Below are 16,164 nucleotides of genomic sequence, written 5' to 3'. Positions count from 1 at the left end.
ATTTAATCATCCCAACAGTCCTGCAAGATAGGTAGAATGGGGAGTTGCTATTGTCATTTTATTAAAATCAGAATTAAGACTCTCTTGTTAGATAGTTGCCCACAGTCATAGAACTAAGAAATGTAAGAGGCAGGAGCTAAATTGCAGTCTTTAGGCTCCTAGTCCAGTTCCTTTCCATTGCACTATAATGCAGTGATCAAGTATGTGGGCTTTGGAGTGTGCCAGACCTGAATTTGAATCTTGGCTTCTCCACTTTCTATCTGTGTGTCCTTGAGCAAGTTACTTAACCTCTCTGTGTCTGTCTCTGTTTCCTTATCTTTACCTGATAGTAATAATTGTGCCTACCTCATAGGTTTGTTGAATAGACTATGAATGGATCCCTAGAATACTTGATACATCATAAGTCTTGTATTTATTTAAAAATATTTGATTATTAAAAGCAATATTTCATTTTCCAGGACCTATCTAGGACATCTGTGCTGCCTGCTCAAATGATGGCTCTGACGTTCATTACATATATTGGTTGTGGGCTTTCATCAATTTTTCTGTCAGTGACTCTTGTAACCTACATAGCTTTTGAGTGAGTATCCACAACCGGAAATTTGGATTTAGGACTCAGCACTCACCTCCATTGCCAACATTTATTAACTAAGCCCTTTCCTCGGCCTGCCTTACCCTGTACACCCAGCTAGTGGAGCATCCATGTATCAACTTTATGGGACTTGTTGGTTTATATGCTTGTGTCCTCACACTAGTCTGTGGACTCCCTGAAGGCAGGGGTTGTGTCAGAATCATCTTGGTGCCCCAGAATGACACCCAGTACCTGATAGACATAAAGTGTGAAATGAATGAGGGATGCAGGCCCCAAAACCCAGAGACTTACCATCTGAAATAGACCACAGCACCATGTACAGCATAAGAACTATGTTTAATAAATTACATTTCTAAATTATACTGAGCAAACACAAAAGATTAAATACATTAACTGGTGTGGGGATGGAGAGAAATAAGGATGTAAAAGCTTTACTGAAAAAAATAGATATTCAGTGAGTGTAGCTCTGCAGCAAGAATGCCATTCTAAAAAACAGCCTTTCCTTCTTGGCTTACCAGACAGGTCCCTTTGGTTGCTTTTTGGGGGTAATTCCAACAAATTCTAATGGAAAAGAAGGACATGGGCATTTTTATTGCATTAACGAATCGAAACAATATGTAGGTTCTTGGATTTAGATTTTGGACACTGATCAGGAAATGTAAAAATTTATTTTCAGTGCCAAAGTTAGGGTCTAGCTGTGACTACGGATCTTCTAGTGAGCCTTTGGAAATATTATTAGTGAGACTAAATAACCAGAAGGCCAGCCATTACTCAGAATGATTTCATCGGATCTAATTTTGCATGCATAAACATGAACATGTCATCAATTAGCTGGCTTCTCCTATGCTATTACATTTAGCTGTAGTTTAAACTCTTCTTTCCATGATCTCATTTTACCTAATAACATACAATAATATGGGAATCTTGGTTAAATTTTGAAGATCTGAATATAGCAGACTCCATGAGAAGCAGCACCAATGCTTCCGAAAGTAGTCTGGGAGAAATAGGGCGAGTGCTTAGTAGAGTCTACTACAAACTATTTAAAAGTATGCGTCAACAGTCAGCATGTAAAAGGTCCCACAGAAATACAGACACAAATTCTCCTTATGGTTATCACAGATGATTCTGTTTAGATTTTTCCTTTGTTGTTGTTGGTTTTAAGCTCCCCCCCACCCCATATACACATATACTCAAACAGAGGAAATTTATGCATATAGACATTTACCAAAGAATAAAAATAAATTGCTTAAAACTCAAAGAGCCTGACAGATATGCTTACATAAGGGTTGGTGCTAGGTGTGGTAACTCATGCCTGTAATCCCAACACTTTGGGAAGCCAGGGCAGCAGGATTGCTTGAGCCCAGGAGTTTGAGGCCAGCCTAGGCAACATGGCGAAACCGTGTCTCTACAAAAAAAATAAGGGTGTGGTAGAGAGCGCCTGTAGTCCCAGCCACTCAGGAGACTGAGGTGGGAAGATCGCTTGAGCCCAGGAGGCAGAGGTTGCAGTGACCTGAGATCACGCTACTGCACTCCAGCCTGGGTGACAGAGCCAGACCTTATCTTAAACCAAAAAAAAGTTGGAGGGTTGGCAGAGTAGAATGCTCATTCTTGTTCTCATCCTTTCCTTTTAGAAAGATCCGGAGGGATTACCCTTCCAAAATCCTCATCCAGCTGTGTGCTGCTCTGCTTCTGCTGAACCTGGTCTTCCTCCTGGACTCGTGGATTGCTCTGTATAAGATGCAAGGCCTCTGCATCTCAGTGGCTGTATTTCTTCATTATTTTCTCTTGGTCTCATTCACATGGATGGGCCTAGAAGCATTCCATATGTACCTGGCCCTTGTCAAAGTATTTAATACTTACATCCGAAAATACATCCTTAAATTCTGCATTGTCGGTTGGGGTATGTATAAGCTTGCCTGCATGTTGCCTGGACTTTCTCTGCCTTTTCTCTAGTGTTTTGATTTTTGAGCAGGTGGAAACGATGAAGCAGATCACATTCAGCAAGTTTCTAAAACAGCTTTATACTCTTACATGTGCACTGCCCGAAGAGCAACTTTGTCAAGTCTCCTTCTAGGACACCTGTTTATTTCTTTGGATTTGTTATGAATATGGAATTCCTCAAGGTTGAACCATGAATCCTCTTTGTATCTCCAGGAACTAGAATTTGGGGCTGGCACAGAAGGTGCTCAATATATTGAAAACATTAGCTTGGGGTGGTAATATATTGAAAACATTAGCTTGGTGGTAAAGAGCCCAAACTCTCAGTCCCTGAGCTCCCAGCCAGCCTCATTCTACTTTGTACCTCCCAGATATCAGACACGTATGACAGTATGCTAAGAAGGGCAGAGTGAGAGAATGTACATATAAAACCCATTGTAACTTCACTGCCACGTGGGCATGACATTTCAGATTGTGCAGCCTATTGGTGGCAGGTCGCAAGGCCTTAGGCTCCCCAAATATGTTGAAGATTTCTTCATTCAATTTCCCACCCAATGCAGGAGCCTCTTCAACCCTCAACTCCACCTGACTTATCCTTGACTAAAGATAATCTAACTTCTGCTTGAATACTTCTATTACTGGGGAGTTCATGACCTTACAAGGCAGCCAATAACCATTTTATAAAGCTCTACAGTTCTGATTTTCCATTAAGTTCAGTTGGCTCCCTGGTGGCACTTACCAGTGGTTTTGCTCAGGCAGAAAACAGTAAGTTGATACCTCTTCTGCCAGAGAGTCCTTTAGATAATCTACAAGTAATATATAACAGTGTGTATAATCCCCTGTTTTTCACACAAGTGACCCCATGCAAGATAAGCCAGTGAGGTGAGCCAGGCAGTCATCCCAAATGTAGGTGAAGAAACTGGCTCCAAGTGATGATGTGATATCCCCCCAATTCACAAAGCTAGAAAACAGCAAGCCTGGCTCTCCGTCTCCTTATATGCAGCCTTCTGCCATCCCCCCAACCAGACTGCCTCTATTTTCAGGCTAAATATTCCTACACATCAAGATTGAAAGCACACCACCACCCTTGCCACCCTGCCTTCTATCTTATGTCACTATGTCTTTGTGAAGAACAACAGAACAACACCCTTTCCCTGTTTGTCCCAGAAACATAAGTCAACGCTCCAGATACTGGGCACGGATTCTGTCTTCTTTAGAGAAGGCTGAAAGTCAGATTCCTTTCTTAAGTATGAGGCCCCCACCCCCAATGTTTTATTTTTAACAAAGTGTCTCACTTAGAAAATTATCATATGTCAGGGTCACCAGAAGGTACAAGCGCAAAGGCATTAAATGAACTATTAGATTTGATTTTACCAGGCACTGCAACTGGTCTGTGACAAGGAATTGTTTGTTCTTTACCAGAGCCTTGAGATAGGACGTCTGCTGGTCAGTGTGCAGAGTGTGGGGCGGTGGCATGGGGCTGGCGGGTGATGGTGTGCAGTGGTGAATAGGATTCTTTCCCCACCAAAAGCCATTTTAAACTTGGGGGACCCTTCTCATGGTACCTTCTCTGAAGGGAAGTGTCCGTGGGCTCTCAACAGAGCCAGCATAGTAGCAGTCACCACCCCCTGGATCAGCCAGGACAGAACCCTCCATCCTTCACTGGGTCTCAAAGTCTTCAAATTGAGGACTTTTGGTTTCATAATGAAAGATTTGCCAGGAGTTGCTGACTCTTAAATATACATTCCAGACATGTATAAGTTAAAGGCACAACGCTGGGTGCAGTGGCTCATGCCTGTAATCCCAGCACTTTGGGAGGCCGAGGTGGGCGGATCACCTGAGGTCAGGAGTTCGAGACCAGCCTAGCCAACATGGTGAAACCCCGTCTCTACTAAAAATACAAAAATTAGCCAGGTGTGGTGGTGCACACCTGTAATCCCAGCTACTTGGGAGGCTGAGGCACAAGAATCGCTTGAACCCGGGAGGCGGAGGCGGAGGTTGCAGTGAGCCGAGATTGTGCCACTGCACTCTAGCCTGGGTGACAGAGGGGGGCCGGGTGGGGGGTGGGGAGTTAAAGGCAACACTGGCAGCTGTAACAGATTCACCTTGAAATCTCAGTAGAAGATCATTTCTCACTCACCTACAGTCTAGTTAGCAGGGGCAGAGGAGTCCCTGGTCTTGCAGTTATTCAGGGATCCAAGCTATTGAAGACTCTGCCTCAAGGTTGCCCTAAGTTTGCAGGCAAAAAGAAAGTAGAGGATCTCACAGGAGGTTTCTATGGGGCAGGCCTGGAAGTGGAGCAAATCACTTGTGCCCGTATCCCATGGGCCCAAAGTGAGCCATGTGGCCACACACACCCAGCTGCCTGGGAGGCTGGGAGCATCCAGTCATGTGCCAAAGAGGAAAAGAAACCAGCCTGGTGAACAGCTAGCCAGTCTCTGCTACAAGATGTAAATAGGATGTGATCTCTAGTCTTGTCACCCACTTTGGTTATTAGAACTAGGTGTGACCAGCCGGGTGCGGTGGCTCACGCCTGCAATCCCAGCACTTTGGGAGACCGAGGCGGGCAGATCACGAGGTCAGGAGATCGAGACCATCCTGGCTAACATGGTGAAACCCCGTCTCTACGAAAAATACAAAACAAAAATTAGCCAGGCATGGTGGCACGCGCCTGTAATCCCAGCTACTAGGGAGGCTGAGGCAGGAGAATCACTTGAACCCAGGAGGCGGAGGTTGCAGTGAGCCGAGATCGCACCACTGCACTCCAGCCTGGGTGACAGAGCAAGAATCCGTCTCAAAAAAAAAAAAAAAAAAAATTAGGTGTGACCAATGTTTCCCATCTTCCAGGGGTACCAGCTGTGGTTGTGACCATCATCCTGACTATATCCCCAGATAACTATGGGCTTGGATCCTATGGGAAATTCCCCAATGGTTCACCGGATGACTTGTGAGTACAAAGCCCCCTAAGGGAATGCTAAGTGAACTGGAAAACGGAATGCTCCTAGAAAACGGAGGATCTAATCAGCATATTGACTCCTGCTATCATCCTAATAAAACCCAGCAATACTTCACAGCAGCCTTCACAGTCATATGTAATGAGAGAAGCTAGCTGGAAATGCCATGCTACTCTTCAAGTGATGAATTAGGAGCTATTCTGAAAAGAAAAATGAATTAGGAAGAACTATTTTGAAAATATTTTCATTAGCCTCTGATAAAATGACATTCCAGTTATATTAATAAAGACTCATAGAACAGAGTTGCTAGGATTTACAGGGGCAAAATCCTGAATGTTTAAAAAAAGGTCTATTTTTAAAATACTTTAAATCACCAAGTGTCCTCAAATAAACTCTTAGATTATTTTCCCTAGAGCTATAAATGGTTGTAGAGAATAGCAGTTTTATCATTTTTTTTCTCTTGTACTGGTAGAAAATGTTTCAGTAAAATGTTAGAGATTCATTGTATCATTTTGAACTCTAGTTCATTACTATAATATGTTTTCCCCTGTTTCCCCCCCTCCACAAACTCCAGCTGCTGGATCAACAACAATGCAGTATTCTACATTACGGTGGTGGGATATTTCTGTGTGATATTTTTGCTGAACGTCAGCATGTTCATTGTGGTCCTGGTTCAGCTCTGTCGAATTAAAAAGAAGAAGCAACTGGGAGCCCAGCGAAAAACCAGTATTCAAGACCTCAGGAGTATCGCTGGCCTTACATTTTTACTGGGAATAACTTGGGGCTTTGCCTTCTTTGCCTGGGGACCAGTTAACGTGACCTTCATGTATCTGTTTGCCATCTTTAATACCTTACAAGGTAAGCTTTACAGCATCAAATACAAACTGAATGATCCCAGTTGAATATAAAAATGTAGCTACTAAAAGAGTACAGGCATGCCTCAGAGATGTTGGGGGTTTGGTTCTAGACCACTACAATAAAGCAAATATTGCAATAAAGTGAGTCACACAAATTGTTGTTTCCCAGTGCATATAAAAGTTGTGTTTACACTAGACTATAGTCTATTAAGTGTGCAATTGCATGATGTCTAAACAAATGTACATACTTTAACTTAAAAATATTTTATTGCTAAAAACTGCTGATACAGAGACACAAGGTGAGTACATGCTGTTGGAAAAATGGCCTTGAGAGACTTGCTGGACGCAGGGCTGCCACAACCTTCAATTTGTAAAAAAAAAAAAAAAAAAAAAAAAGTACTATCTGTGAAACCCCATGAGGTATGCTTGTATATGCAAAGTAGCTTATTTAGTGGCTTATGATATTTTCATTGAAAAACATATTTATTATTGAGAGGGAGTGCTTTGAGATCCTTGGAGGAAAGGTGCTTACTAAATTCAAGAAATGGTGTTTTTTTCTCCTTATTCATAGTTGTCTCCTTGGAGAGACCATATTGAGGGGAACCTGCCAGGAACACTTTTTGAAAAAGTCAATTATTCTTCCTTCACTTGGTTTCTTTTAAAAAAAAAAACTTTTGTATTCAAGTAGAACATGCAGACTGTAAGCACACATACCATGACTGTGCCTGTGGGAGCTCACCACTCTCCCCTCCTAGGTCAGCGATTTGGAGACAATGAGAAATGGGAAGGCAACAGACAGACCCAAGTGGCAGCAGTCTTACTTGAAGGCTAATCCCAAGAAGTTGCTGCCCTGGGACACTCAGCGGGAAAGAGAGCAGGCTCTGTGTGTCGCCATCTGCTTTAGGTTTCCCATTGGTTAATGAAGCCCATGCATCTTGGAACCCTGATAGTTGTACTCTTTAGAAAGGAAAATGACTAATTCTTTTAGAGCAGTGTTATGAAAGACGTGTCTGCTGTTAATTTTTAATGGAAGTGCTTTGGCATTAAAAGCCCAGCAGGCTATTAGGTTTACATTACAATAACAATAATTCACTGTCCCTTAGTTTCCTTTTATTCTGAATCCTCTTTTGGGGATGCCTTTTAATTGCCTTCTCATTGGCTTTTGTTCATCTTTCCTGTTGCTTTTGCTCCCATATTGTCCTTCTCTAGTTCTATCAGGCAATAGATCATCTTGTTGGTTTTCAGAGAAATCCCAACCTGAGGTTAAATTCAAATGCCGAATTTGGTTGTTGGTTCTTATTTTAATTTGGAGGAAGCCAGCAGAGATGCTTGTTTGGTTATATATGGTTATTAATTTTTACTTATAATATAGCGGTTCCTCAATTGGTATATCCAGGTGTTACACCGCATGGTATTACATACAAAACCAAAAACATGAGCAAATTCTTTTTAAGGGTCTTAAGAAAAGTTTTATTTGCCAACCACGGCAATACTGAAAGTAATAGATACTTTAAAAGAAAAAACATATATATATGCCCACATTACACTAATCATTGACATGAAAGCAAGGTACCCACCCTCACATGTTTAATGTGGAAACTGAATCTGCCTTTTTCTTCATTTCCCCAGATTATCTTCTCATTAGAATATGAATGGATAAAAGGAATGAATGTATTGTTTCATCTATACAAGGAAACTAACCCTAATGCACAGGGCTTTTGGGGTGGTTGAATATATATATATCTTCTGATTTTGGCCTCTCTTATACATGCTGTTTCTCTCCTAATGCAACCAATGGTCGACTTCCAGGGTGACAAATGAATGAAGCTGTGTAATATTCAGACATGGGTCTTGACGGTGGGCACATATACCCTACTAGAAGCAAAACTGTTTTGTTTGTTTGTTTTTTGAGATGGAGTCTCGCTCTGTCACCCAGGCTGGAGTGCAGTGGAGCGATCTCGGCTCACTGCAACCTCCGCCTCCCGGGTTCAAGTGATCCTCCCACTTCACCCTCCTAAAGTGCTGAGATTACAGGCGTGAGCCACCACCACGCCTGGCCCCTGGTATCTTAAAATGAAGGTTTTAAAGTGAATAGATTGGGGGTTTTTAAGTAGAAAGCAGAGAACCCAGAATTCATCCATTCACTCAGCAAATATTTATTGGCAAAAGCCTTGGGGAGTGGCAGCCATGGGGCTGGCTGGGGAGCCCTGGCCTGCCTTGACTGGGCACCTGAGTGGGTGAGAGGTGGAGTCCCAGGGCCCCTTCAGGTCTTCAGCTTGCTCTCCATGCCAGCACCTGGGGCAGGTCAGGAGGAGGCAGGCAGGTAGGTGAGTGCATTGCTGTACTGCCTGGGTTTGAGGGGGAGAGAGAGATCCAAGCAAAGGACATGGCAGTGGGCTGGAGAGGAGGAGAGTGGGAAGGGAAAGATGTGTGGAGGAGATGGCATTTGACAGAGCTTGGAAACGGATTCTAAATAGGGAGGGAGGGAGAGGCAGGAGCCTAAGTCCAAGCTGGGATCCTGGGTGGATGGCTTGTAATTCCAAGATACGGAAGGCCAAGGACAGGATGTGGGAGGAGACAGTGAATTTAATTGTGGAAATGCAAAGTTATGATTCCTTTTATCATATAAATATTCTTAATCTTACAAAGATTTTCTAAAGGCATTCATTCCCCGATGCCTTTTGACAGCAAGCTTTCCTAGGACTCTGAACTTTTTATTCAATTTGCAAAATTTCATGTTGCCCACAGCTGCCAAAATAATTATTAATATCTTTTGTGCAAAGTGAGCTTATGACATTCAGCTATTAGCTTGGAATTCATTGTGGGTTTTTTTTCCCTCCTTAGGATTTTTCATATTCATCTTTTACTGTGTGGCCAAAGAAAATGTCAGGAAGCAATGGAGGCGGTATCTTTGTTGTGGAAAGTTACGGCTGGCTGAAAATTCTGGTAAAGATTTACCTCACTTTTTCTCTTCCTCTTAAATCTCAAGGAAAAGATTGTATAAATTAAGATCCAAAGCAAATCCAATCTAGAAATCAGTGAATTCCAGCAAATCTGGAATTTGCTCAACAGAAAATATTGATCGTGAACATTAGGGAGAAAAAAAAATCTAGTGAATTAAAAAATAATTATTTCTATCTGGGAATTTTTTGAGCAATAAAATTGATGGGCTGGCTGCCTCTTCAATGAAGCAACAGTAAAATTTTTAGAATTGATTTTCTATTGAGATTATGCTTTTCATTTCCCAAAGTAATTTTTAATATTTACCTTGGTAATTTTTAAAATCTCAACTCAATCCTTTCTCCACAGGTCCTGGTTGTCAGTTGCTTTATTTGTTAGTAAGCCAGACTTTGTGTATAAGCTTTAGCATACATTTGGTTGTAACATACATTTGTTTATTTTGAAGTGATTTTCACATATACCCGGTTGGGTAGTAGAGCAAATAGCTCATTTTTTTTTTTTAAGAAAATGAGAAAAATGAAGTACTGTTTGAAAAGCTACATTCCTTTTGCATGAATACCACCTTTGCAGTATCTGGGCGACACGGGAGTCTGTATTCAGAAAATGGCAGTACACATAGTTCAATCATTTTCATGGAGTGAAGAACAATTAGTCATTACAACACAGACTATTTGTGTTCTTGTTAAGACAGTGTGAGGCTCTGAATCACTACCTAATTCTATGGATATTTATAGACATAATCAAATTAGCTTGGCCTTTAGTTCTAGGAGAATATAGGTTACTTTTAACCCCACAGTCATTTGAAGGACAAATGTAAATAATCCAAATGAAAATACATGTTATCACACCAACTGGTGGAAGGTGACTTCTCCATAAGATCCTGAAGTGAGAAATCAGTTGCTTAGGACTTGTTACACTGTGATCTGTCTCTTGCGTTTGAGCTTCAACATACTGCCCTGTTTTTCTGTAATGCTTATTCTGCTGTAGACTGGAGTAAAACTGCTACTAATGGTTTAAAGAAGCAGACTGTAAACCAAGGAGTGTCCAGCTCTTCAAATTCCTTACAGTCAAGCAGTAACTCCACTAACTCCACCACACTGCTAGTGAATAATGATTGCTCAGTACACGCAAGCGGGAATGGTATGTATGTCTCAATATAGTATTTCTCAAGCTAGTGTTTATTTTTTAAAATAGTTTTATCCTTTATTGGCATTTTGGCTAAGCAAAGTGAGTAACTATTAATACATATATGACTAGTGGATCAAAATGTGGTTCCCTTACAGAAGAGAAAGTTTACTAATCCAAATTGATTTATTATAGAGCAAATACTGGAACAACGATTTTTTAAGATTTGGTTTTTCATAGTGGGAATTGATGATGACCTAAAAATTTTAACATTTTAAATCCTCACTTAACTATTGTCCAAAGACTTCAGTATTGTGCTATTTCTGTGAGAGCAGTACCTAAAATAGCTGATAAGACTATAGCAATTTTTATTACATCTATCATAATATACATGTTCAACATTTTTTTTTTTTGAGATGGAGTCTCACTCTTGTTGCCCAGGCTGGAGTGCAATGGTGCAATCTCAGCTCACTGCAACCTCCACCTCCTGGGTTCCAGCAATTCTGCCTCAGCCTCCCGAGTAGCTGGAATTACAGGTGACCTACAGGTGACCGCCACGATGCCCAGCTAATTTTTGTATTTTTAGTAGAGACAGGTTTCACCATGTTGGCCAGGCTAGTCTCGAGCTCCTGACCACAAGTGATTTGCCCACCTCGGCCTCCCAAAGTGCTGGGATTACAGGTGTGAGCCACCGCGCCCAGCCAACACTTTTAAACCTTCCTATTTTTTGCTTTTCATGTTTGTTAATTCTTTCCCACAATGTGGCTGTCTTGTGACAGCACCCAAATCCCCATGAATATGTCAAAATACTGGAAGATGACTTGTGACCAGTATTGGTGACCATATATGTGACCAATATCTGAACAGATTATTGCTGCCATGCCTCCTTTACTCATTAATTCTGACATTTCTAGCTAAAACTTCTGTTACATTTTCTTTCTTTCATAAGACCAGGCTGTTCATTACTCATAAAAGCTTACCTTATCTATTTTTACCTTCTCTTGCTTCTTAATATATCTTTTGCATTCTTATAAAAACATAAGCTCTGCTGGTATAGTTTCTCCTTCCATGGAGAATTTGCCTGTATTCATTGTTTTAGGATGTTAGTTCTTTTCATGACTAACTCAAATAAATTTGTGAGAAGGTTCATACATCTACCAGTTTTCCCGTTTCCTGAAGATGGGCAGTCCTGCTGGTGTGTCTAGACTTTTTTTTTTTTTTTTCTTTTTTTTTATGACAAGGTCTCCTATTGCCCAGGCTGGAGTTCAGTGGTATGATCACGGTTCACTGCAGCCTCGACCTCCCAGGCTCAAGTGATCCTCCCACCTCAGCCACCCGAGTAGCTGGGACTGTAGGAGCATGCCACCATGGCTGGCTAATTTTTTTTTTTTTTTAAGATGCAGTCTTGCTGTGTTGTCCAGGTTGGTCTCAAACTCCTGGGCTCAAGTGATCCTCCCGCCTCAGCCTCCCAAAGTGCTGGGATTACAGGTGTGAGCCACTGTGCCCGGCCTGTCTAGGCTTTTAAAATACCATAGGATGCCTCAAAATCAAGGTTTCTCAACTTCAAGCACAATTGACATTTTGGGGCTGGATAATTCTTTTTTGTGGAATTGCAGGACATTTAGCAGGATCCCTGGACTCTATCAACTAGAGCCAGTAGCACCCTGCCCCCAGTTATGACAACCCAAAATGTCCCCAGACACTGCCAACTGTCCCAGGGGAGCGGGGAGAAGAAGGGAGCAAGATTGCCCCCAGTTGAGAATCACTGCTGTAAAAGATGAGAAATAACTGTTGTATAGCCTTAGCTCTTTACTGTCGATACCAGAAAGCAAGCTCTGGGCTCTACACCAAATAGCTCTATCAGGAATGATTCAATGTAGGTAAACAGAGGCGAGGCAGCGGGGAGCACAGCTGGTTAGTACGTTAGTGTGAGAAAGCAAATTGAAAGGAGAGACATCAAAGGAGCGAGCAGGGTCATCTGGGGCTCTGAATCCATAAACCAGATTTGTCCATATTCTCGAAAGAGCTCAGAGATGAAGCCTCACCTGCCTAGCTCTATCAACATGTTGTCATCCTTTGGGAAATCAGATTTCATGGAAACAGCACATTTTACCACAGTTGTTTAACACAGCTGATTTGACACAGCTACTTTTGATGCTTGACGGTGAGGATGGGGGTACATTTTAAGGCTGCCAAAATGGCTCAGTGTTTAATATCACATAATATGCATGTCAGATAACCATTCCTGACTCCTCAGTCCTTGCCCCAGCATCTGGGATAGATGAGGAATGGAATTGGCAATTTCAAAAAAGAAAGCTAGGGCTGGGCGCAGTGGCTCACACCTGTAATCCCAGCACTTTGGGAGGCTAAGTTAGGAGGATCACCTGAGGTCAGGAGTTCAAGACCAGCCTGGCCAACATGGAAAAACTCCATCTCTAATAAAAAATGTGAAAATCAACCAGACGTGGTGGCACACACCTGTAGTCCCAGCTACTCAGGAAGCTGAGGCAGGAGAATCGCTTGAACCCAGGAGACAGAAGTTGCAGTGAGCCTAGATCTCACCACTGCACTCCAGCATGGGCGACAGAACGAGACTCCGTCTCAACAACAACAAAAAAAGCTAGAAGTTTAATGATTTATTATGCCAGACCAAATTGTTCTTGCACCAAAATGTCCTCAAGCCGAAATGCCTAAATCCAAACAGCTGCCTCAGACAGTCACATGCCCTATTTGATCTGTGTCACAGATGGAGCTACGTTAACCATATTCATCACCTAGTTTGCATGAATATTACACAGTTCAGTTCTGAGCTGCCTTAGAGGGTGGGGTACCAGCAGCCATCTCATTTGGTACCCAGGACCACAAGGATCACAGTTTGGAAGCAACATCACACGTCAACTCCATTACTTCTGAGCTGTGTGACCTTGGGGAGAGCACTTAATTTCTGAAACCTTCGTTTCCTCATCTGCAAAATGGGGATAACAGTAGTACCCACCCTGCAGGGCTCTAAATGAGATAATAAAGTGTCCCAGTACTGTTATGATCATTGTTATCATAATCATGTCATGAACTATCAAATGGGCTTATTATTCAGCTTTGTGTATAGTCTCCCAATGGTCTAATGATCAGAAGGATGGTGCCAAGTAACTAGAGGAGGCCAGCACCTGTGCTCCCCTATAACTCAGGGCCTGCTTGGGGTGGGGAAGGCCCACGTCCAAACCAACAGTTACCCTTGAGTGCCCAGCTGCTCCCTGGCCTGGACTCTGAAGTTGGAATTGGTAGTTTCCTCTTGGGAATTTGTCCTGTCCTGATTTAGTCAGAGGAGCTGGTTTAATCTACAAGAGAGATGATTTCTTCTTGCCATGACTGTTGTAGCTGGTTGCTCTGGTTTCTCTGGTACAAAGTTTCATTTTATAGGAACCTAGGGAACCAAGAACTTCCTAAGGGTACATATGGGGATCTCTGTTAACATTAACCTTTTGGGAGACCAAAGTATTACCTTAGCTTATATTATACATATGCTGCTACTTGAAGTCAAAACATATCCAACCAGAGTTAGGAAGTGGGCCTTTTATTAATATATTACCTTGCTTCAGATTTTGACTGTTTCATTAAAAACCAAACAAAAAAAAAACTGCCATAGAGAACTGGTTTCTGAAGCAATCTCCACTTTGGTATGCTTACTTTGAGTGGCCTTAGGGAAGTAATGAAAAATAAATAAAATATGAACATATATCACAAATGTTTTTAAAAACATATTTTACAAATACATCTTTAAGAATAAAGCAATGTCTAAGTTTGTTTGCTTTTTAATGCTTTCTGTGGATACTTCATGCCACCCGCTTTGTGTTTCCTTATACAGGAAATGCTTCTACAGAGAGGAATGGGGTCTCTTTTAGTGTTCAGAATGGAGATGTGTGCCTTCACGATTTCACTGGAAAACAGCACATGTTTAACGAGAAGGAAGATTCCTGCAATGGGAAAGGCCGTATGGCTCTCAGAAGGACTTCAAAGCGGGGAAGCTTACACTTTATTGAGCAAATGTGATTCCTTTCTTCTAAAATCAAAGCATGATGCTTGACAGTGTGAAATGTCCAATTTTACCTTTTACACAATGTGAGATGTATGAAAATCAACTCATTTTATTCTCGGCAACATCTGGAGAAGCATAAGCTAATTAAGGGCGATGATTATTATTACAAGAAGAAACCAAGACATTACACCATGGTTTTTAGACATTTCTGATTTGGTTTCTTATCTTTCATTTTATAAGAAGGTTGGTTTTAAACAATACACTAAGAATGACTCCTATAAAGAAAACAAAAAAAGGTAGTGAACTTTCAGCTACCTTTTAAAGAGGCTAAGTTATCTTTGATAACATCATATAAAGCAACTGTTGACTTCAGCCTGTTGGTGAGTTTAGTTGTGCATGCCTTTGTTGTATATAAGCTAAATTCTAGTGACCCATGTGTCAAAAATCTTACTTCTACATTTTTTTGTATTTATTTTCTACTGTGTAAATGTATTCCTTTGTAGAATCATGGTTGTTTTGTCTCACGTGATAATTCAGAAAATCCTTGCTCGTTCCGCAAATCCTAAAGCTCCTTTTGGAGATGATATAGGATGTGAAATACAGAAACCTCAGTGAAATCAAGAAATAATGATCCCAGCCAGACTGAGAAAATGTAAGCAGACAGTGCCACAGTTAGCTCATACAGTGCCTTTGAGCAAGTTAGGAAAAGATGCCCCCACTGGGCAGACACAGCCCTATGGGCTCATGGTTTGACAAACAGAGTGGAGAGACCATATTTTAGCCCCACTCACCCTCTTGGGTGCACGACCTGTACAGCCAAACACAGCATCCAATATGAATACCCATCCCCTGACCGCATCCCCAGTAGTCAGATTATAGAATCTGCACCAAGATGTTTAGCTTTATACCTTGGCCACAGAGAGGGATGAACTGTCATCCAGACCATGTGTCAGGAAAATTGTGAACGTAGATGAGGTACATACACTGCCGCTTCTCAAATCCCCAGAGCCTTTAGGAACAGGAGAGTAGACTAGGATTCCTTCTCTTAAAAAGGTACATATATATGGAAAAAAATCATATTGCCGTTCTTTAAAAGGCAACTGCATGGTACATTGTTGATTGTTATGACTGGTACACTCTGGCCCAGCCAGAGCTATAATTGTTTTTTAAATGTGTCTTGAAGAATGCACAGTGACAAGGGGAGTAGCTATTGGGAACAGGGAACTGTCCTACACTGCTATTGTTGCTACATGTATCGAGCCTTGATTGCTCCTAGTTATATACAGGGTCTATCTTGCTTCCTACCTACATCTGCTTGAGCAGTGCCTCAAGTACATCCTTATTAGGAACATTTCAAACCCCTTTTAGTTAAGTCTTTCACTAAGGTTCTCTTGCATATATTTCAAGTGAATGTTGGATCTCAGACTAACCATAGTAATAATACACATTTCTGTGAGTGCTGACTTGTCTTTGCAATATTTCTTTTCTGATTTATTTAATTTTCTTGTATTTATATGTTAAAATCAAAAATGTTAAAATCAATGAAATAAATTTGCAGTTAAGATCTTTAAGTTTGGTAATTTTCACAAAGAAAAAACATCTGCAGTCTCTTTCCCTGGTGGCCTGGCATGGAAGTGGTGTAGGACATGCTGATTAAGACAAACACAATTGGCTGGGCATGGTGGCTCACACCTGTAATCCCAG

At 41.5% G+C, this 16,164-nt stretch overlaps 1 protein-coding gene and 1 long non-coding RNA gene across 18 annotated transcripts in view; one reads left to right on the top strand and one right to left on the bottom strand.

Annotated features, from left to right (window-relative positions):
• ADGRG2 (adhesion G protein-coupled receptor G2) overlaps positions 1–16,031 on the top strand; it is a 133,650-nt gene extending 117,619 nt beyond the window's left edge. For 13 of the 16 annotated variants that reach the window (XM_006724455.3, NM_001184835.2, NM_001184836.2 and 10 more), the window contains 7 exons: positions 459–580; positions 2,224–2,492; positions 5,378–5,477; positions 6,059–6,342; positions 9,186–9,287; positions 10,290–10,442; positions 14,290–16,031. In XM_006724455.3, coding sequence (XP_006724518.1) covers positions 459–580; positions 2,224–2,492; positions 5,378–5,477; positions 6,059–6,342; positions 9,186–9,287; positions 10,290–10,442; positions 14,290–14,474 — 1,215 coding nt within the window. In that variant the 3' untranslated portion in view covers positions 14,475–16,031. The remainder of the gene's footprint in view (positions 1–458; positions 581–2,223; positions 2,493–5,377; positions 5,478–6,058; positions 6,343–9,185; positions 9,288–10,289; positions 10,443–14,289) is intronic. The other 3 variants (XM_047441758.1, XM_047441757.1, NM_001184834.2) reach the window with 1 other exon arrangement.
• LOC101928415 (uncharacterized) overlaps positions 1–16,164 on the bottom strand; it is a 69,547-nt gene that overhangs the window by 51,796 nt on the left and 1,587 nt on the right. The window lies entirely within an intron of this gene.

This window comes from Homo sapiens, chromosome X (genome assembly GCF_000001405.40).
Source record: "Homo sapiens chromosome X, GRCh38.p14 Primary Assembly".
Classification (NCBI taxonomy): domain Eukaryota; kingdom Metazoa; phylum Chordata; class Mammalia; order Primates; family Hominidae; genus Homo; species Homo sapiens.
Note: the sequence above shows the minus strand (reverse complement) of the source record. Positions and strands in the feature narration are given on the sequence as shown.